The sequence below is a fragment of the Homo sapiens genome, chromosome 20 (assembly GCF_000001405.40).
Source record: "Homo sapiens chromosome 20, GRCh38.p14 Primary Assembly".
NCBI lineage: Eukaryota > Metazoa > Chordata > Mammalia > Primates > Hominidae > Homo > Homo sapiens.
Genome location: NC_000020.11, coordinates 49,708,841 through 49,730,292, shown reverse-complemented (window position 1 = coordinate 49,730,292; position 21,452 = coordinate 49,708,841). Strand labels below are relative to the sequence as shown.

At 46.0% G+C, this 21,452-nt stretch overlaps 1 protein-coding gene and 2 pseudogenes across 1 annotated transcript in view, besides 3 other annotated features; 2 read left to right on the top strand and 1 right to left on the bottom strand.

Annotated features, from left to right (window-relative positions):
- On the top strand, window positions 354-721 carry SNRPFP1 (small nuclear ribonucleoprotein polypeptide F pseudogene 1; annotated as a pseudogene).
- Window positions 2,287-2,581: a silencer, noted in NCBI's record as "tiled region #10962; HepG2 Repressive DNase matched - State 8:EnhW". NCBI's record gives its function as "represses a minimal TATA promoter and a strong SV40 promoter by Sharpr-MPRA in HepG2 cells {active_cell/tissue: HepG2}" and the evidence as "EXISTENCE:reporter gene assay evidence [ECO:0000049][PMID:27701403]".
- Window positions 8,046-8,344, bottom strand: RN7SL197P (RNA, 7SL, cytoplasmic 197, pseudogene; annotated as a pseudogene).
- Window positions 16,203-16,532: a silencer, noted in NCBI's record as "silent region_13003". NCBI's record gives its function as "represses an Ori minimal core promoter by ATAC-STARR-seq in GM12878 lymphoblastoid cells {active_cell/tissue: GM12878}" and the evidence as "EXISTENCE:reporter gene assay evidence [ECO:0000049][PMID:35858748]".
- Window positions 16,415-21,452, top strand: part of B4GALT5 (beta-1,4-galactosyltransferase 5) — an 80,934-nt gene continuing 75,896 nt past the window's right edge. The window contains exon 1 of the mRNA NM_004776.4: window positions 16,415-16,717. Within this exon, the coding sequence (NP_004767.1) occupies window positions 16,603-16,717 (115 nt within the window). The 5' untranslated portion in view covers window positions 16,415-16,602. The remainder of the gene's footprint in view (window positions 16,718-21,452) is intronic.
- Window positions 16,823-16,942: a silencer, noted in NCBI's record as "silent region_13002". NCBI's record gives its function as "represses an Ori minimal core promoter by ATAC-STARR-seq in GM12878 lymphoblastoid cells {active_cell/tissue: GM12878}" and the evidence as "EXISTENCE:reporter gene assay evidence [ECO:0000049][PMID:35858748]".

Below are 21,452 nucleotides of genomic sequence, written 5' to 3'. Positions count from 1 at the left end.
AAACTCCTGACCTCAGGTGATCTGACCGCCTCAGCCTCCCAAAGTGCTGGGAATACGGGTGTGAGCCACCGCGCCTGGCTAGAATCCTTTCTTGTAGCATGAATTTTGAACCGTTTGCAGAACATCTGTCCATGTATAAAATCATTGAATGTTTGCAGAACCTTTTTGCTTATCGTTATGGAATGTCTACAGAGCACCCTCATCTGTACAGACTTAAGGAATGTTAGCTAAACCCCCTTCTATGTGGAATCATGGAATGTTGGCTGAGCCTTCTATGGCATAAAATCATGGAATGTTACCAAATACATTTCTTACTATAAAATCTTGAACATAGTTTTCTCCTGATGCTCAGTGGCTCAGGACCTGTGGTAGCTGCTGTAGTCAGTAGCCTGGTCAGCCTGGTCAGCGGCCTGCAGCATTTGCCCATAGCATTTGCCTGTGGTTACGATGATGAGTTTATGTCTCAATCCCAGATCTTTCCTCAGTGGAGTAACAGGAAAGCCAAGGATGGTGAAACTTAAGCGGGGAATGGAGTACTAGGGCTACCTGGTATCTGTAGATGGCTACATGAACATGCAGCTTGCAAATACAGAAGAATACATAGATGGAGCATTGTCTGGACATCTGGGTGAAGTTTTAATAAGGTGTAATAATGTCCTTTATATCAGAGGTGTGGAAGAAGAGGAAGAAGATGGAGAAATGATTGGGAGGCTGAGGCGGGTGAATCACTTGAGGTCAGGAGTTCAAGACCAGCTTGGCCAACAAGGTGAAACCCCATCTCTACAAAAATACAAAAATTAGCCGGGTGTGGTGGCACATGCCTGTAATTCCAGCTACTCAAGAGGCTAAGGCAGGAGAATCGCTTGAACCCAGGAGGCAGAGTTTGCAGTGGAGATCACACTACTGCACTCCAGCCTGGGTGACAGAGGAAGACTCTGTCTTAAAAAAAAAGAAAGAAAAAGAAGATGGGGAAATTAGAGAATAGCATCTTTTGTGGGGGATTTTTAAAATATATATTTCTAGACAATAAAGATTTGTTTTTCAAAAAAATAAAAATAAATGAAATACAATATTGAAACGTTAGCTCTATATTCCCTACTTACATGTTGGAGAGGGCAGGGGATGGTGGCTCACACCTGTAATTCCAGCACTTTGGAAAGCTGAGACAGGCAGATCGCCTGAGGTCAGGAGTTCGAGATCAGCCTGGCCAACATGGCGAAACCTTGTCTCTCCTAAAAATACAAAAATTAGCCGGGCGTGGTGGCACACACCTGTAATCACAGCTACTCAGGAGGCTGAGGCAGGAGAATCGCTTGAACCTGGCAGGCCGAGATTGCAGTGAGCCAAGATCGAGCCACTGCACTCCAACCTGGGAGACAGAGTGAGACTCTGTCTCAAAAAAAATAATAAAATAAAATAATTTTTTCAAAACAAAGCAAAAAAAGATTTTACTAAGTACAGTAATCTACAGTAAATCTTTTGATATATTAAAACTCATCTTATAGGGCAAGGTCAGCAAAGTACAATCCATGAGCCAAATCTGGTCTGCTACTTGTCTTTGTAAATAAAGTTTTATTGGAACAGAAACACACTCCTTTGTTTACATAGTGGCTATGGCTGCCTTTGTGATAGAATAGCAGAATTAATTGACTGTGCCAAAGATTGTACAGCCAGTAAAATAAAAAATATTTACTGTCTTGGCTGGGCACAGTGGCTCATGCCTATAATCTCAGCACTTGGGGAGGCTGAGACAGGCAGATTATTTGAGGCCAGGAGCTGGAGACCACCCTAGCCAAAATGGTGAAACCCTATCTCTACCAAAAATACAAAAATTAGCTGGGTGTGATGGCACATGGTGGTCCCAGCTACTCAGGAGGCTGAGGCAGGAGAATTGCTTGAACCCTGGAGGCGGAGACTACAGTGAGTTGAGATCAAACCACTGCACTGCAGCCTGGGCAACAGAGCGAGACTCCATCTCGAAAAAAAAAAAAATTTACTATCTCTAATCCCAGCCCTTTGGGAGGCTAAGGTGGGAGGATCACTTGAGGCCAGGAGTTTGAGACCAGCCTGGGTAATATAGTGACACCTTGTTTCTATAGAAAAAAATAAAAAATCTTTGCCAGGCATAGTGTTGTAAGTCTGTGTCCCAGTTACTTGGGAGGCTAAGGTGGGAGGATCACTTGAGCCCAAGAGGTCCAGGCTGCAGTGATCATGTGACTGCACTCCAGCCTGGGTGACAGAGTGAGACTCTTTCTCAAAAAAACAAACAAAAAAATTACTCTCTGCCTCTTTATAAAAGAACTTTGCTCACCTGTGCTCTAGTGGGAAAATATACTCTGAATTCCTTTTAATATTTAGTTTTTTTTTCTTTTCACAGCAGACTCAGCTGAATTCATAAATAGTTTCATTAATTCATTCAACCAATATTTACCAAACACCTATCAAGTGCTTAGGGTGCTAATTTAGGCACTGCGGTGCAAATATGAAAAAAAGACAGTGCTTGCCTTCAAGGACAGTCGTTCCCATCAAGAGCATTCCCCATGGCATTATGAAATCTACCCATAACCTTACATAATTTATAAGAAACCAGTTGTGTGACCTTGGGCAAATTTCTTAATCCTTCTAGACTTTTATTTCCTCATCTGCAAATGAGGGTGGCAGTAGTACTTACCTCAAAATGTTGTTGTAAAGATTAAGGGTTTTGTTTGTTCAGTGGTTTGTATTGTTTTGTTTTGAGACAGGGTCTCGCTGTGTCACCAGGATGGAGTGCAATGGAGCGATCTGGGCTCACTGCAACCCCTGCCTCCCAGGTTCAAGCCATTCTCCTGCTTCAGCCTCCTGAGTAGCTGGGACTACAGGCGCATGCCACCACGGCCCAGCTAATTTTTTGTATTTTTTAGTAGAGATGAAATTTGGCTGGCTATGTTGGCCAGGCTGGTCTTGAACTCCTGGATTCACGTGATCTGTCCCCTTTGACCTCCCAAAGTGCTGGGATTACAGGCAGGAGCCACCACACCCAGCCCATTAAGTAAATTTTTTTTTTCTTTTTTTTTGAGACGAAGTCTCACTCTGTCACCCAGTCTAGAGTGCAGTGGCAGGATCTTGGCTCACTGCAACATCCACCTCCTGGATTCAAGCAATTCTCCTGCCTCAGCCTCCGGAGTAGCTGGGAATACAGGTGTGTGCCACCACATCCAACTAATTTTTTATTTTTAGTAGAGGTGGGGTTTCACCATGTAGGCCAAGCTGGTCTTGAACTCCAGACCTCAGGGGATCCACCCGCCTCGGCCTGCCAAAGTGCTGGGATTACAGGTGTGAACCACCATGCCTGGTTGTAAATTTTTTTTTTTTTTTTGAGATGGAGTTTCACTCTTGTTGCCCAGGCTAGAGTGCAGTGGTGCGATCTCAGCTCACTGCAACCTCCACCTCCCGGGTTCAAGATATTCTCCTTCGTCAGCCTCCCGAGTAGCTGGGATTTCAGACACACACCACCATGCTCAGCTAATTTTTGTATTTTTAGTAGAGATGGGGTTTCACCATGTTGTTCGAGCTGGTCTTGAACTCCTGACCTCAAGTGATCTGCCTGCTTTGCCCTCCCAAAGAGTTGGGATTACAGGCATGAGCCACCATGTCTGGTCCATAAATTTTTAATAAAGTGCTTAGACTAGTGCCTGACACAGAGTAAGTGCTATTCAAGTGCTTTTTTAAAAAATCTTTTATTTTATTGTATTTTTTTGAGACACAGTTTCTCTCTGTCACCGAGGCTGGAGTGCAGCGGCATGATCTTGACTCACTGCACCTCTGCCTCCCAGTTTCAAGCGATTCTCCTTCTTCAGCCTCCCGAGTAGCTGGGATTACAGGCATGGGCCACCATGCCTGGCTAATTTTTGTATTTTTAGTAGAGATGGGGTTTCACAATATTGGCCAGACTGGTCTCGAACTCCTGGCCTCAAGTGATCTACCCACCTTAGCCTCCCAAAGTGCTGGGATTACAGGTGGAAGCAACCGCACCTGGCCCAAAAAAGAATTTTGAGGCTGGACACCTGTGATCCCAGTGTTTTGGGAGGCCCAAGTGGGAGGATTGCTTGAAGCCCGGAGTTTGAGACCAGCCTGGGCAACAGTATAAGACTCTGTGTCTATAATTTAAATAATAATAATAATAAATAAAAAAGATTTAATACAGGGATATAGGTGCTTACAAAATCATTAGGAGGTCTGGAAGAGTAGAAGTCAGGGGCCATTTCAGGCTTTTGATTTCAAGGTTCCTCCAGCAAGGCCTTGTTCCCAAGGTTACCAAACTGCTGCTTCCCTGCCACCACCATGGCCTCCATCCTACTACCTCACACCCTCCTAAGTGGGGACTGCACAGTGGACTCCACTGTACATGCTCCTCCCACCTGCAGAACCGCTCCCTTAGCTGACACAGCTCCAGCAAGACGACCTCTCCCTCTCTCCCATCCTCCAGATCTCATGCAAATGAATCTAACTGACAGAATTTAACTTCCCACTGTCATAGCTGCAAGAGAGCCTGTGGAATGCTGTTTTAAGCTTTTGAGCCTCTTTCAACAGAAGGAGAGTAAATGGAGGTTAAGAACATCCATCCAGGCCGGGCGGGGTGGCTCAGGCCTTTCTAATCCCAGCACTTTGGGAGGCCAAGGTGGGCAGATCACCTGAGGTCAGAAGTTCGAGACCAGCCTGGCCAACATGGCGAAATCCTGTATCTAGTAAAAATACAAAAAATTAGCCAGGCATGGTGGCATGCGCCTGTAATCCCAGCTACTCAGGAGGCTGAGGCAGCAGAATTGCTTGAACCTGGGAGGCGGAGGTTGCAGTGAGCCGAGATAGCGCCACTGCACTCCAGCTTGGGCAACAGAGCGAGACTCCGTCTTAAAAGAAAGAAAGAAAAAAAGAACATCCATCCAGAATCAAGTCCAAAAATTCTGGGAGGTTTTAGGATGGGAAAAATATTTAAGCTGGATCTTAGAGGATGAGGAGAAAGAGAACACAGTATTTCCTGGTAGCAGAAACAGAGCACCTAAAGGCATGAAGGCATTGAAAAAAAAGTTGGTGTGGTCCACAAATATCTGTTGTTTTTGCCTGCCCAGCAACAATTCCACTTGAATAATTGCACTTTGATTTCCCCTCGGGGAGCCACCCCTCCCTACATCAACCTTGTGGTTCACAGGAAGCTGATCTTGCTTCCTGGCTCCAGGGTGGGGGCAGGTTGGGGAGTGGGTATGTGACCACTTCTGTCCAATCAGCACACTCCATCCCTTTAATCACAGGGATCGGTTCGGGGAGGAACATATGAATGAAGCCAGACCAATGAGACTTTATTATAAAATTTCTTTTTTTTGGCTAAGTGACTGGGCTGGGGAATGGAAGCCTGGAGCAGCTGAGAATAAGCTGGTCAGGAGGAACACATGAATCTGATGAAACCAACTCAGAGGGAAGCAGAACTAAGATATTGAGAGAAACTAAGGCTGCTGATATCATGTGAGCCCCCCAGCTATGCCTGACTAATACACTACATCAAGAGAGTATTTCACAAGCCTGAGAGCCACTGTCCCAGGGAGCTTATAGCAGCTTTATTCCTAGTATCCTCTAACTAGAAACGATCCAAATGCCAGATGACAGCAGTTGACTGGAAAGTAAACTATGGTGTATTCACACAACAGGATACTATTCAGCAATTAAAATGAATGGTTTTACAATCTCACTCATCGGTATGCATGAATCTCACAAACATGGTGAGCAAACGGAGCCAGACAGAACAGCACAGGTCCTCCTCAACATACAGAGGAGCTACATCTTGCTAAACCCATTGTGAGCTGAAAATACCGTAAATTGAAAATGCATTAATCCACCTAACCTACCAAACATCTTAGTTTAGCCTAGTCCACCTTAAATGTGCTCGGAACACTTATATTAGCCTAAAGTTGGGTAAAATTAACACAATGCCTATTTTATAATCAAGTGTTGAATATCTCATATCATTTATTGAACACTGTACTGAAACTGAAAAACAGAGTGGTTGTATAGGTACTTGAAGTCCAGTTTCTTTCTTTTTTTTTTTTTTTGTGAGATGAAGTCTTGTTCTCTCACCCAGGCTGGAGTGCAGTGGGGCAGTCTCGGCTCATAGCTACCTCGCCTCCTGGGTTCAAGCTAATCTCCTGCCTCAGCCTCCCAAGTAGCTAGGATTACAGGTGCGCACCACCATGCCTGGCTAATTTTTTGTATTTTCAGTAGAGATGGGGCTTCACCATGTTGACCAGGCTGGTCTTAAACTCCTGACCTCAAGTGATCCACCCGCCTCGGCCTGCAAAAGTGCTGGGATTACAGGCATGAGCCACTGCGCCCGGCCTTCTTGAAGTCCAGTTTCTACTGAATATGTATCACTTTCTCACCATCATGAAATCAAAAAGTGGTATGTCAAACTATCATAAATTGGAGACCATGTACATCATATACATACACATATCATATACATATACATACCTATACATATGTGATGTACATGTATACATCATATCATGTCCTTATTTCTTGATGTGAATGTTGGTTAAATGGGTAATTCCATTTGTAAAAATTTAGCAAACTATACTTTTGTTACAATGTGTATTTTTCTGTATGTGTGCTATGATTCAATTAAAATTAAAAAAACACACTTGTAAAAACCTCAGCAGATGCAAAACTGGGGAAGGAAAGAAAGGCAGGTTAGGACTAGGTGAATTCAAGAGTCAAACTATATCATTAGGACTCAATTTCTCTTTGCTGTTTGTATCAGTCTGTTTATATGCTCATTTCATTCTCAGGTTCCACATGTTGATAAAACAGTTGCCATTGCTGTGGCCTCACAACCTGTCATGTTTATGTCTAGCATGAAAGAGAAAGTTGGCCTCTCCAAAGGCACAAAGAAAGCTGGACATTTAGCATCATTGGCTCTGGCTGGTCTGCTCAGCCCTGAACCAATCACTGTTGCAAAAGGAATATAATATTCTGACTGGCCAGGCTAGTTCATATCATGTCTGGAGATGGAAATGGAGTTAACAACCTCAGAGAACCACATAGACTGAAAACAAGGAGAGAAGGAAATCTGGCTGTTTCAGAAGTCAAGTGAATGGATGCTGGGTGACTAAAAAATTCAGTAAATACCTGGTCCCTAGATGGCAGTGGCATCATCATTATTATCATCATAATTTTCTCTTAGCATCTAGAAAAATGTCTGGCATCTAGTTTGGTACTTGATAAATATTATTATTTTTTCTTTTTTTTGAGACAGAGTCTCACTCTATCACCCAGGCTGGAGTGCAGTGGGGCGACCTTGGCTCACTGCAACCTCTGCCTTCCAGATTCAAGCGATTCCCATGCCTCAGCCTCCCGAGTACCTGGGATTACCGGCACCTGCCGCTACACCTGGCTAATTATATATATATATATATTTTTTTGTATTTTTAGTGGAGATGGGATTTCACCATGTAGGCCAGGCTGGTCTCAAACTCCTGACCTCAAGTGATCTGCCTGTCTTGGCCTCCCAAAGTGCTGGGATTACAGGTGTGAGCCACCATGCCCGGCCAGTACTTGATAAATACTAATATCTGTTGAATGAGAGAATGAGTTATATCAGGCAATACTAGGAGCAATCTTGTCATGCCTTAGGCCTTCCTCTACAGGATAGGAAAGACTGAGGAGAATTTAGAGAAGGGATATAAGTCAGTTTTTATTTTTTATTTTTATTATTATTATTATTTTTTGAAACAGAGTTTCACTGTTGTCGCCGAGGCTAGAGTGTGATGGTGTGATCTCAGCTCATTGCAACCTCTGCCTCAGCCTCCTGAGTAGCTGGAATTACAGGCGCCGGCCACCACGCCCAGCTAATTTTTGTATTTTTCGTAGAGACGGGGTTTCACCACATTGGCCAAGCTGGTCTTGAACTCCTGGCCTCAGGTGATCTGCCCGCCTTGGCCTCCCAAAGTGCTGGGATTACAGGCGTGAGCCACCATGCCCGGGTTATTTTATTTTATTTTTAATTTTTTAATTATTTTAGAGGCAGGGTCTCATAATGTTGCCTAGGCTGGAGTGCGGTGGCTATTCACAGGCGCAATCCCACAACTAATCAACACTGGAGTTTTGACCTGCTCCATTTCCAACCTGGGCTGGTTCATCCCTCCTTAGACAACCTGGTGGTCCCCCCATCCTGGGAGGTTGCTGTATTGATGCCGAACTTAGTGCAGACACCCAAATGACATAGTACACTACAACACAGAACTCTTGGACTCAAGTGATCCTCCTGTCTCAGCCCCCCGAGTAGGTGGGACTACAGGCTCATGCTACCGCGCCTGGCTATAAGTCAGTTTTTTTTGACAGCAAAGACATAGTCCTGTACAGAATCAAAGCTCTTGGAGGCCTTTGCTAACTTTTACCTTACTCTCTCTCTTCAGAGGGGATTGGTGGCAGAAGGACCAAACCCTGGAAAATTCTGATTACAGTAACGGTGGGTGAAGCAGGAAATAAAGGAAGCCCTCCTTCACTGCTGCTAGGAATATAAATTGCTACAAGCATTTTTGAGAACAATTTGGAAAATAGTAAAGCAGAAGATATGCATACCTCACCTGTTCACCAAATCCTCTCTTGTAAACCATGTGACCTGGAGACATTTTTGCCACATGCACAAATTACATACAGACGCGTGTTGAGCCAGTTGCAGTGGCTCATGCCTGTAATTCCAACACTTTGGGAGGCCGAGGCAGGGGGCTGCGGGGAATCACTTGAGGTCAGGAGTTCGAGACCCGCCTGGACGACACGACGAAACCCTGTCTCTATTAAAAATACGAAAATTAGCTGGGCGTGGTGGCGTGCACCTGTAATCTCAGCTACTTGGGAGACTGAGGCAGGAGAATCACTTGAAGCCAGGAGGCAAAGGTTGCAGTGAGCTGAGATTGCACCACTGCACTTCAGCCTGGGTAAAAAAGCAAGACTCCCTCTCAAAAAAAAAAAAAAAAAAAAGCGTGTTGCTCCAGTTACTACTGCTGCAGCATAACAAATTATCCCAAATTTAGTTGTGTAAAACAATAACCATTTTATCATTTTGGAAAGGGCACAGTGGGACAGCTTGTCTGGGGCTTTAGATGGGAAGGTTTAAAGGGTGAGGATGACTTGACAGCTGGGAGTTGGGACATCTAAAGCCTTGTTCTCTGACATGCTTGGTGGCTGATGCTGGCTGTCATCTGGAACCTCTGCCAGGGCTGCTGACCAGAGCATCTGTATGTGGCCTCTCCACTTGGCCTGGGCTTCTTCACAGCATAGGGGTTCCAGGCTCCAAAGGTGAGTGTCCCAGTGATCAAGTCAGAAGCTGCATTGCCTCACAAATTGTGCAGCATCATTTCCATCTTTTTTTTTTTTTTTTTTTTTTTTTTTTTTGAGACAGAGTCTCACTTACTCTGTCTCCCAGGCTGGAGTGCAGTAGGGCAATCTCAGAATCTCGGCTCACTGCAACCTCCACCTGCCAGGTTCAAGCTATTCTCTCACCTCAGCCTCCTAAGTAGCTGGGATTACAGGCATGCACCACCACGCTTGGGCTAATTTTTGTATTTTTAGTAGAGATGGGGTTTCACCATGCCAGCCAGGTTGGTCTTGAACTCCTGACCTCAGATGATCCACCTGCCTCAGCCTCCCAAAGTGCTGGGATGACAGACATGAGCCACTATACCTGGCCATTTTCATCTTTTTATTGGTTATAGATGATTCACAATCCCACCCAGATTCACAGGAAGAGGAATTAGAGAAAGTTCTAGAAGAGCATGAGGACAGGAAATATTGTTGAGGGCATCTTTGGAAAATACATTCTGCCACACGCATACATCGCAGTCATGTTTGTGCCTGTCCACCATCCCTTATCCAAAGCCGTTGGGGCTAAACGTGTTTTGAATTTTAGAAATTCTTAGAATTTTGAGGCCGGGCGTGGTGGCTCATGCCTGTAATCCCAGCACTTTGGGAGGCCGAGGTGGGTGGATCACCTGAGGTTGGGAGTTAGAGACCAGCCTGACCAATATGGTGAAACCCTGTCTCTACTAAAAATGCAAAATTAGCCGGGCATGGTGGTCCATGCCTGTAATCCCAGCTACTTAGGAGGCTGAGGCAGGAGAATTGCTTGAATCTGGGAGGCGGAGGTTGCGGTGAGCCGAGATCAGGCCATTGCACTCCAGCCTGGGCAAAAAGAGTGAAACTCCGTCTCAAAAAAGAAAAAAAAAAAGAAATTCTTAGAATTTTGAAAGACAATATGGTGCATTCATGAAATCTCCTATCATACCCCTTGAGAGGACTGGTTCATCCTGTAAGCAAAAATCTAAACTCGGTATGGTGGCCCATGCCTGTAGTACCAGCTGTTCAGGAGGCTGAGGCAGGAGGATCGATTGAGCCCAGGAGGTTGATGCTGCAGTGAGCTGTGATTGCGCCTCTGCACTCCAGCCTGGGCGACAGAGGGAGACCCTGTCTCAAAAAAAAAAAAAAAAACAAAACAAAACAAAACAAAAAAAAAAACACTAAATATTTCCTCAGTGGAACATATGAATATTCACATTAAGTGGCATAATGATTATAAATAGCTTTCTGTCTATTCAGGTCAGGTTTTGCCACTAAAGAAGTTCAAATCAGGTCAGATCTTGCTGCTAAATAAATTATAAAAAGCCTTCCATTTTTAGGTTTCCTGGAATTTGAATTGTAGCTAAGGATTTATGGACCAGTATGAGGAAAAAATTGGAACAAACTTAAATAGACATCATTAGGAAAAAGGATTTTAAAAGGTGAGGCCAAGTTATATGATAAAATATTACACAGCAGTGAAAATGAATAAACTTGAGCCACATGTATCATTATGGAAATATCTTATAAAAATAATGTCAGGAGAAAGCAAGTTGCAGAACGGTATATTTATGATAAGTAAGGATAGGCCAGGTTTTCTGTATTAAAAATAGCCCTTGGCCTGGCGCGGTGGCTCATGCCTATAATTCCAGCACTTTGGGCGGCCGAGGCGGGCAGATCACTTGAGGTCAGGAGTTGGAGACCAGCATGGCCAAGATGGTGAAACCCTGTCTCTACTAAAAATACAATAATTAGCTGAGCATGGTGGTGCACGCCTGTAGTCCCAGCTACTTGGGAGGCTGAGGCAGGAGAATCACTTGAACCCAGGAGGCAGAGGTTGCAATGAGTTGAGATCATGCCACTGCACTCCAGCCTGGGCAACAGAGCAAGACTTGTCTCAAAAAAAAAAAGCCCCTATATCTCAGAGGCTTTATTTATTGCTCATGCTACGTGTCATTGTTGGCAAAATGGAGTTGGGAGCATCTCCTCCTCATTCTGGAACTTAGCTGGTGGGTGGCTGCTCTGAACAACATTGATGGTTATTTGATAGAAGGAAAAGTAGAGGGAAGGATGCACCGGCTTTTTTTATTTTTATTTTTTTTCTTGAGACGGAGTTTTGTTCTTTATTGCCCAGGCTGGAGTCCAGTGGCACGATCTCAGCTCACTACAACCTCCGCCTCCTGGGTTCAAGTGATTCTCCTGTCTCAGTCTCCCGAGTAGCTGGGATTACAGGTGCCCACCACCACACCTGGCTAATTTTTGTATTTTTAGTAGAGACGGGGTTTCACCATGTTGGCCAGGCTGGTCTCAAACTCTTGACCTCAGGTGACCTGCCCATCTCAGCCTTCCAAAGTGCTGGGATTACAGGCATGAGCCACCATGCCCTGCCGGATTGTTTTCTTTATGTGTGTGATTTCAGCTAGCCTGCAATTGGGTGTTGACAAGCACAAGAGGCCCAACCTGTGCTCTCCTGAGATTTCACCAAGGACCTCCCTTTCTTTAGGCCACTCCCCTGCGCTAAAACCTTCAAGGGCTCTCTATGGCTCAGAGGAAAAAGTTAAGAATAGTGATGGCTCCCATGGATTGAGCACTTCCTACATATCAGGCCCTTTATAGAGATACTATTTGTAATCTGTGCACAATCCTAGAAAGAAGGAACTGTCTGATCTCCATTTTACAGATGCGGAAATGGAGGTTCCGAGAGGTGAAGTGACTTGCCAAGATGACAGAGTGAGGGCAGGGAGGAAGGAAGACTGGCAGCCAGATCCATCTAATTCCAGGGCCCATGCTGAGCCACAGGGTCAGGCCTCACTCCTCCAGCCTCACCCCTCACCTCTTTCTTTTCCTTGGCAGGACTAGCTGCTCCAACCAGGCAGGCCTCTTCTCACTGCCCCTTGAGCAAACCTGTCTCAATGTCCCTTCAAAGACCATCTAGAATCTCACAGAACACCTTTTCCTACTGCCAGCCATGCTGAGTCCTGCCCTTATGACAGTGTCCCTCAGTTAGTCACTTTCCTGTAGCTCATATGTCACTAGGCTGCAAGAATGTCTTAGTCATCTTTGCATCTGCCATGCCCAGCACACAGTCACTGCACACCTGTCGTCCTTCAACAATTATTCAGCGCCTACTGGCTGCTGAGCACTGTGCTAGGTGCAAGGATACAGCAGAGAGTGAAACCAAATCCCTGCTCTCGTGAAGTTTACATTCTGATCTGGGAGAAGAAAATGAACAAGTAAACGCGTATATGTATAGTAGAATGTCAGGGGATAAAAAGTGCTATGGAGAAAAATCAAGCTGAGGAAGGCTATGGATAGAGAGTGCTGGGATGGGGAGAAGAAAGCTACTTTAGAGGAAAGGTCTTTTTGAGACGGTAACATTTGAGCAGAGATTAGAATACAGTGAGTTTGTCTGAGGAGCTGAATAGTCAAATGAATATATAATGAATACATGCTTTAGTGAGTTGGAAACCTAACTTGGAGATGAAAAAGTAGTGTGGAGGAAGGAGTTTGAGGTAGGGATCCCTGGATACTCCTGACATACTTCTTTTTCTTCCATTTAAAAACATAAACTGCCGGAGGCGGTGGCTCATGCCTGTAATCCCAGCACTTTGGGAGGTCGAGGCAGGCAGATTACCTGAGGTCAGGAGTTCGAGACCAGTCTGACCAACATGGTGAAACCCTGTCTCTACTAAAAATGCAAAATTAGCCGGGCATGGTGGCGTATGCCTGTAATCCCAGCTACTTGGGAGGCTGAGGCAGGAGAATCTCTTGAACCTGGAAGGCGAAGGTTGCGGTGAGCAGACAATGTGCCATTGCACTGCAGCCTGGGCAACAAGAGCGAAACTCCACTGAAACAAACAAACAGACAAAAACCATAACCAGTTTATTTATTTATTTTTGAGACGGAGTCTTGCTCTGTCGCCCAGGCTGGAGTGCAGTGGTATGATCTCAGCTCATTGCAACCTCCACCTCCAGAGTTCAAGCGATTCTTGTGCCTCAGCCTCCCAAATAGCTGGGATTACAGGCTGCCTGACACCGTGCCTGGCTAATTTTTGTATTTTGCATTTTTTTTTTGAGGTGGAGTCTCACTCTGTTGTCCAGGCTGGAGTGCAATGGCACGATTTTGGCTCACTGCAACCTCTGCCTCTGCCTCCCAGGTTCAAGCAATCCTCCTGCCTCAGCCTCCCGAGTAGCTGGGATTACAGGCACGTGCCACCACGCCCAGCTAATTTTTGTATGTTTTAGTAGAGATGGGGTTTCATGTTGTTGGCCAGGCTGGTCTCAAACTCTTCACCTCAAGTGATCTGCCTGCCTCGGCCTCCCAAAGTGGTGGGGTTACAGGCGTGAGCCACTGTACCCGGCCTAAAACATAACCAATTTATTTTGATGCCTTGTTATTTCAGATAGGTCAGAAATAGAGACTGATCATTGGTACATAGTTTAAATGTAGGAAGGTTTCTCTTTCTCTGTCTATCCAGAACAGACTGGATGTTACAGAATGTTATGGTATAATTGTTAATTCTCTTAGTATTACTGTGGTTTTGAAGGATAATGTAATTTTCCTTAGGATTTGCTACTGAAGTATTAAGGCATGAAGTACTAGTAAGGCAACAACTTACTTTTTTTTATTGTTTTTTTGAGTCAGGGTCTCACTCTGTCTCCCAGGCTGGAGTGCAGTGGCGCTATCTTGGCTCACTGCAACCTCCACCTCCTGGGCTTAAGAGATCCTCCCACCTCAGCCTCCCAAGTAGCTGGGACTATAGGCACACGTCATCACGCCCAGCTAATTCTTTTGTATTTTTTGTGGAAATGGAGTTTTGCCATGTTGGCCAGACTGATCTCAAACTCCTGAGCTCAAGCGATCCATCTGCCTTTGCCTCCCAAAGTGCTGGGATTACAGGTGTAATCGCCCAGCCTACCTTTAAATATTTAGCAAAAAATAAAAATTTTCAACATATGAATATAGATACATACATGTGGAAAAATGATAACAATGATCAAATCCAGGTGGGGAGTGTACAGATGTTTCTTGTACTATTCTTTCAACTTTTCTGTATGTTTGAAAATGTTTCATAGATACGAGGGTTGGGAGGGGCCATTGTGTGGGCCAACAAAAACTATTTGCAAGTTAGATGATTCCGGCTAGTCTGGGATTTCTGGTCCAGGGCCTTACCTGCACTATTTCATCGAATCCACATCACATCCCCGTGGGGTGGGCAGCACTGGGTCCGATTCACAGGTGATGAATAGAGAAGCTCAGAGAGGTAAGTGACTTTCCCAGAGTCACACAGCCAGGAGATGCCAAGCCGAGATTTGAACTCACATCTATCTGAGTCAAAATTCTCTGCTTTCCTTTTTGATCGTTTAAGCCTCTTCTCTTCCACCATACCATTCTCCAGGGGTATTGAATTAGGTGACAGCTAAGCACTCTTACTATGTGCACTTTGCATGTATTACTTAAATCCTCGCAACAACCTGATGAGGTTGCTAATAACCTCCTCCATTTTACCGAGGCACAGAGAGTTTAACTTGCGTGAGGTCACACAGCTAACAATGGAAAAGCTGGGAGTCAGAGAACCTGGGCAGTGTGGCTCTAGACTCCCCACTTAAAGGATCAAAGAAACACTGTAAAAAGTAGAAATCACTTTAGGAATATAAATCAGAATTATTGTTGATTCTCACAGAATCCCTGCAAAGTCCTCTCCCCTCCCCACTGCTTCTGGCATTCCAAGACAGTACCCTAGTTTCAGATATGTCTACACAGGGACACTGGCCTCCTCAGTCCAGCTCCTTGAGGCTACTGCTTCTTGCCATAAATTTCTAGGACTGTTCATTGCCTTCTGAGGTCCTTTGAGCTGATGCTGATCTGAAAGCATTTTTTTGGATATGGTCCCATACCCAGGTGATGGGGATAGGATACCGATTTGCCTGCAGGATAAGAATTAGAGGTCATACAGACTGCTGAGACAGTTACAACCTAGAGGTCAAGGGCCTGACATGGGAGACAGGCCAGTTTTGATTTAAGCCCTTACTGCAAGGCTTGGGTGAATTGCCTTTCCATCTAGAAACCTCAGTTTCCTCATTTGTATGATAGTAATAATAACAGCACACATCTCAAGACTGGTGGGGGAATTTCATGGCATGAGTGAAGTCCATGTTTCTCAGCAGAAGTCTAGAGACATTGACAATTGTTATCATTATGCTATTTCTGATACAGTAGGATCCCTGACTACAGCTCCAAGCTCATCCCTATTTCCCCCCCTACTTCACTGGATTTTATCCATGTTGGCCTTGGATTCAACTCGGGGGCAGATCAGCCCTTTTCCTACCTCAGGGCCTTTACACCTGCTGTTCCCCCTGGTATGACTGCTTTTTCCCCAGCTTATTCAAAAAAGCTGGCGCTTTCTCACCCTTTTATATCTCAGTTCGTGTCACTGCTCAGTGAGGCCTTCCTTGACCACTCCAGCCTGCCTGCAATACATCCTCCTGTTTTATCGTATTCATATGTGTTACCAGTACCTGATATTACTAGCTGATTTGTTTCTTTTATCTCTCACATAATGTAAGTTTCAAGTAGACAGAGATTTTTATCGTTTTTTTTCTCTGTAGCATGCCCAGCGCCAACAACTGTGTCTGGCATTCAATAAATAAATGGTGAATTGAATGAATGAATGAATGAATGAATGAGGGTGTATACCAGGCCGAACCCCCAAGCCTTGCAGTCCCCACTCTTCTGCTGCAGTGGGCAACGAGATGAGTCAGACTTTGTAGATGGCCCCTTGGCCCCCGAGATGGGGGACGAGCTAGCGCGGAGCACTTGGGAGACATTCCCCGAAAGCCTGGGCGGTGGCCGCACTGGGAGAGGGTCTGTCGCCATTTGGCGATTACTCCATGCGGGCTGCTGTGGGCGCCGAGCGAGGGTCGGCGGCGAGCGCAAGCGCGCGGGTCTTTTGCGACGGTGCCCGGCGGCACTGGCCCCGCCTCCCGCGCGTGCGCCCCGCCTCCGCCCCCGCCGCTGCGCCCGCTCGGGGCCGCTCTGGCCCCCGCCCGCTTCATGTGGCCCGGCCCGCGACGGCCGGCGGCTGGGAGCGGCGAGGCGGCGGCGGCGGCGAGTGGCGGCCCGCGAGGCCCGGGAGGCGGTGGCCGAGGCCCAGGCGGTGGCGGCGGCGGCCCAGGAGGCGGCGGACGGGGAGCTGCGGGAGCAGGCCCGGCCTGGCTCTCTAGCGGCCGCCTGGCTGCAGCATGCGCGCCCGCCGGGGGCTGCTGCGGCTGCCGCGCCGCTCGCTGCTCGCCGCGCTCTTCTTCTTTTCTCTCTCGTCCTCGCTGCTGTACTTCGTCTATGTGGCGCCCGGCATAGGTAGGAAGGGGGCTTGGGACCGCGGCGGCTGCCGCTCTGGCCTTGAGGGACCCGGGGAATCCCCGCCCCTCCCTAAGGGGCCCCGGCCGGGAGGCGGCCCTGAGCCTGGTCCTCCGAAGACTCCGGAGTCCTGGCCCGGCTCTCGGGGACGCCAGGACATTCCTGCCCTCCGCACCCCAACAGGCGCCCGGGATCCCTCTCCCGCGCCAGCCTCCGGCCCACCCCGCCCCTCCTAACGCCACCCTCGCGAACCCGACTGTACCTTCACGCCCGCCCCTTGCTCCGGAACCCCCTTCCCGCTCTTGCCTCGCTGGAACTCCCACTTCCCGCTCCTCTGCTCGAGAACTCCCGCTTCCCCTTCCCTTCCCCGGGGTCTCCTCGAACCCCCATTCCCGGCATTCCCCGCACCCCAGTCCCCCGCGGCGCGCCCGCTCTTCGCCGAGCCCATGTGCCCGGGTCCCAGGCCGCCCCACCTTCTAGCTCCCATCCATCCTCCCCCACTCCCCATGACTCCATCGTTTCCTGCTCCCGTGAGCCCCCTCCCTCCCCTTTCTTCCTCTACTTCCCCTATTACATCCACCTCCAGGTCCTCCTCCCTAACTCACGTTCACCTCTTCAGTGGCCTGATCTCTCTGCCTGCCGGTGGCACCCCCCTTCCCCTTACAGAGGTCCACCCCCATTCAATCTCCTGCTAATCCCCTGAGCGTCCCATGCCTCTTCCCCATCTCCCCCCCCCCCACCTCGCGTACCCACAAGGGCACATCCTTGTCACCTTTGCCCCCAGCCCCCCAGACTTTCAGCCACAGCTTCTTTCTCAACTGAAGACCTGGGGAAGGGGTGCTGTCTGTGTTCTTTCTTCCACTTCTGCCCTCTCCTAGCCTTGAGGGTAGATGGTGTGGTTCTTCAGTATTGGATAGTGCCTGCTCTGCGGACAAAGGAGAAGTTTAAATTGTCCGTAGAGAAGGGGATATGATTGGGGCCTTTGGGAAATGGTACCAGGTGAGAAGGGGGAGCATGGAGGAAAGATGTAATGGGTACTCCTTCTTTTCAAAGTCTTATCCTTTAAAGGAAAGGCGGTCTCTGGAGAAACTGACCCTCCCACCCCTCCCCCGCCTGCCCCAAGCATAGTCTTTTATAAGACCACAGGGCACCAGTTAGGACAGGAAGAGATCAGAAGGAAAGACAGCATGAAGGTTAAGAGCGGAGGACACAGAGGTCAGACTTGGATTCCAATCTCTGCCCTGTATGACCTTGGGCAGGTTACTAAGCCTTTGCATTTCTCCTCTGTAAAATGGGAATGTGAGTCCCAATCTCATACAGTGTTAAGGATGGAAGTAGATACATGTTCTTTAAAAGCACTTACCACTGTACCTGGTGCTTGAAGAGTTTTAAAAATAAGTAAATAAAGGCAGCTATTACATGTAACTTCCAGGAAGAAGGGAGTTAGGTGGAACGCTTAAGGAATGTGTTTGCCTGACTTGGCATCACTATGAGGAAACCTCAGTTTATGGTGAAAAATGATCAGAAGATGCTGCTGGGGTAGGGGCAGGGAGAGTAAATTCTGCTAGAAAAATTTTGGATTATATGGATTTTAGGAAAGGGTTGATGGTTTAGCTGTAGGGAAATGCCTTTTAGGATTGTAGCAATAACTAGTGCCATTCTCTGTTGACCTGTCAACGCAGAACTAGCTGAATAGAGAAATTTCCAGATAGAGCAGGAGATCGTCTCCTGATTATTTTTTAAGCATATTTTACTTGTGGTTAATGTTGATGTTTTGAACTATCAACTAGATCTGGGAAGATAGAACAGGCAGCATCAGATTGCCTTGTTTACAAAGTGTCATCACGAAAAGTGTTCCTCTAGGAAGGCATAATATGTGGCCTGATGGATTTGATGAGTAGATTGTAAAAGGGTTGGGATTCTGGCAGAACAAGAAGAGATAACTAATTAGTGGAATTAACTGAGAAAAGAGTTCATTAGCATGTTGGCTATTAGACTCTAATAAAAATGGGTGTGAAAAGATGGGATTTGGACCTAGAGGCAGTCTTAGAGCCATAATCCTTTTTTTCTCCTTTTGTGAAAGTGACAGGTACTTCTGGTCTGAGTCCATAAATCAGCTATATCTAAATGGAAAACTATATCCCACTGGGATGGTAATCACCCTTTTGATAGAAAGGTTAGAAGCCAGATTCTTCAACAGAAATGGAACTTATCAATTTAATTAAGATTCCTCAACAGTAGATTTTTAGGTCAGTGGAACCCCTGTGTAAAGCGATGTGCTACTGCCATGCCTAGAATCCTATATCACTGATAGCTGAAAAAGAGGCAGAGCACTTACATTTTCATTAGTACTGTATCCCCTTGAATGTAAGCCTTCTGAAGGGGAATTCTACTTAGGATGGAAATTTTGTTCGTGAGAAAGGGGAACAATAAAAAAAGGATGTGGAGTAGTTACATTTAGCTGTTTGCCCTTCCTACTAATTTTTTTTTTTTTTTTTTGATAGAGAGTCTCTGTTGCCCAGGCTGTCGTGCAGTGATGCTCATAGCTTACTGCAGCCTTGATCTCCTGGGCACAAGGGATCCTCCTCCCTCAGCCTCCTGAGTAGCTGGGACTCCAGGTACATGCCACCCTGCCTGGCTAACTTTTAAAACAGTTTTTTGTAGAGACAGGATCTCACTATGATGCACAGGCTCTGTTGAACTTAAATTTTTAGAATGTCTAGCTTTGGACAGTGGGGCGGCAAATTTTTTCAAGGTTAAGGCAATCTGGAGAAATAGAAGGTTGTTTTGTGTTCCTTGGGTTATGAAGACCTTATTTGAATAGTTATTAAAATGAGCTTAGAAAATAATACTAGGTTGGCTGGGTGTGGTGGCTCACACCTGTAATCCCAGCACTTTGGGAGGCTAAGGTGGGTGGATCATGAGGTCAGGAGTTCAAGTCCAGCCTATCCAAGATGGTGAAACCCTGTCAGTACTAAAAATACAAAAATTAGCCGGGCGTGGTGGCAGGTGCCTGTAATCCCAGCTACTCAGGAGGCTGAGGCAGGAGAATCACTTGAACCCAGGAGGCAGAGGTTGCTGTGAGCCGAGATTGCGCCATTGCACTCCAGCCTGGGTGATAGAGTGAGACTCTGTCTCATACACACACACACACACAAAAAAAAAAAAAAGAGAGAGAAAATAACAGAAAATAACATTAGGTTGAGCCATATGAAATTTCTGTTTTTGCAGGTCAAAAACAGTTGTATATCAGCAGTTTCATGTAGTTCACTTTAATAAATTTCCCAATGACAATTCTGTTTTCTGGCACAGTGGAATTATTGGACTTATATTTCCTTCTAGGTTTAACTTTTTCCAGTGCTTGCTTTTGATTTGCTTTGTATACCCTGTGGCTACATTGTGCTCAAGGGCTAGAGATATCATCACTCCAAGAGATTCAGAAATAGTAGACTTGAATTTGAAATAAGAAAAATCATGTAGCTATAAATGTTATGAATTGTCCATGTATACTGTAACCCAGCCAAAATTTCAGCCTAACCATTAACTTAGTATTTTTGAGCTCTAATGCCACTTAATGTGGGTGACCCGTATTCTAAGAGCAAAGGAAACTTTTCTTGGACTTGAGAGTCATCCGTGAAATGGGGTACCATCTCACATAGAAAATTGGATATGAGGAAAATTACTAAATAAGACTATTAATAGTGTGTTTGCAAAAAATATAAAATGCCCTCAGCTACTATAATAATACCATTTGATCCATTTAATGTTTTAAAAATACGACTTCGTTGGAATTTTTTTTTTTTTTTTGAGACGGAGTTTCGCTCTTTTGCCCAGGCTGGAGTGAAATGGTGTGATCTCAGCTCACTGCAACCTCTGCCCCCCAGGTTCAAAGGATTCTCCTGCTTCAGCCTCCAGAATAGCTGGGATTATAGGCGCTTGCCACCACTGGCTAATTTTTGTATTTTTAGTAGAGATGGGGTTTTACCATGTTGGCCAGGTTCGTCTCGAACTCCCGACCTCAAGTGATCCACCCACCTCAGTCTCCCAAAGTGCTAGGATTACAGGCGTGAGCCACCGTGCCTGGCCGGGAGTTGTGTTTGTATTGTTAATTTTGGAAGTAGTGTTTTATATCAGCAATTTAAAAGGAGAAGGTTGGGACAGAAAGTGAGAGAGTGAAAGAGAGAAAGTGGTGGATTTGATAAGGAGCAAGGTAATAATGTTGCATAAAAATGTGATGTCCCTTCTCTTCAACCCTCTACCCTCTGGCCTTTATGATTCTCATTTATTTAATCACTTGTTTTATTTGCAATGTTGAAATATCCCTATTCCCTTCAGGGTTCTGCAGAAAACTTTTGAACTTATTTATGACCTGTTAACTTAAAAAAAAATCCGAGAGCTCAGAGTACTTCCGTACTCCAGTCTGATCAGGTCTTTTAAAAGATAACAGAAGCGAGCTATTTATAAATATACATATGAGGTGCTGATTTAAAATCTTAATAAGTTTATGGTACCATCATATGGCAAGGTTGTGTAGAGGTTACTGACCTTAGCAAATTGTCGAAACAGTTATCGGTTTCAAGAGAGGTGCCTGTGCATGGTTAGGGGTAATTGTTTATGCATTGATGACTTTTTTTTTTTTTTTTTGAGATGGAGTCTCGCTCTGTTGCCCAGGCTAGAGTGCAGTGGCGCAATCTCAGCTCACTGCAACCTCCGCCTCCTGGGTTCAAGCAATTCT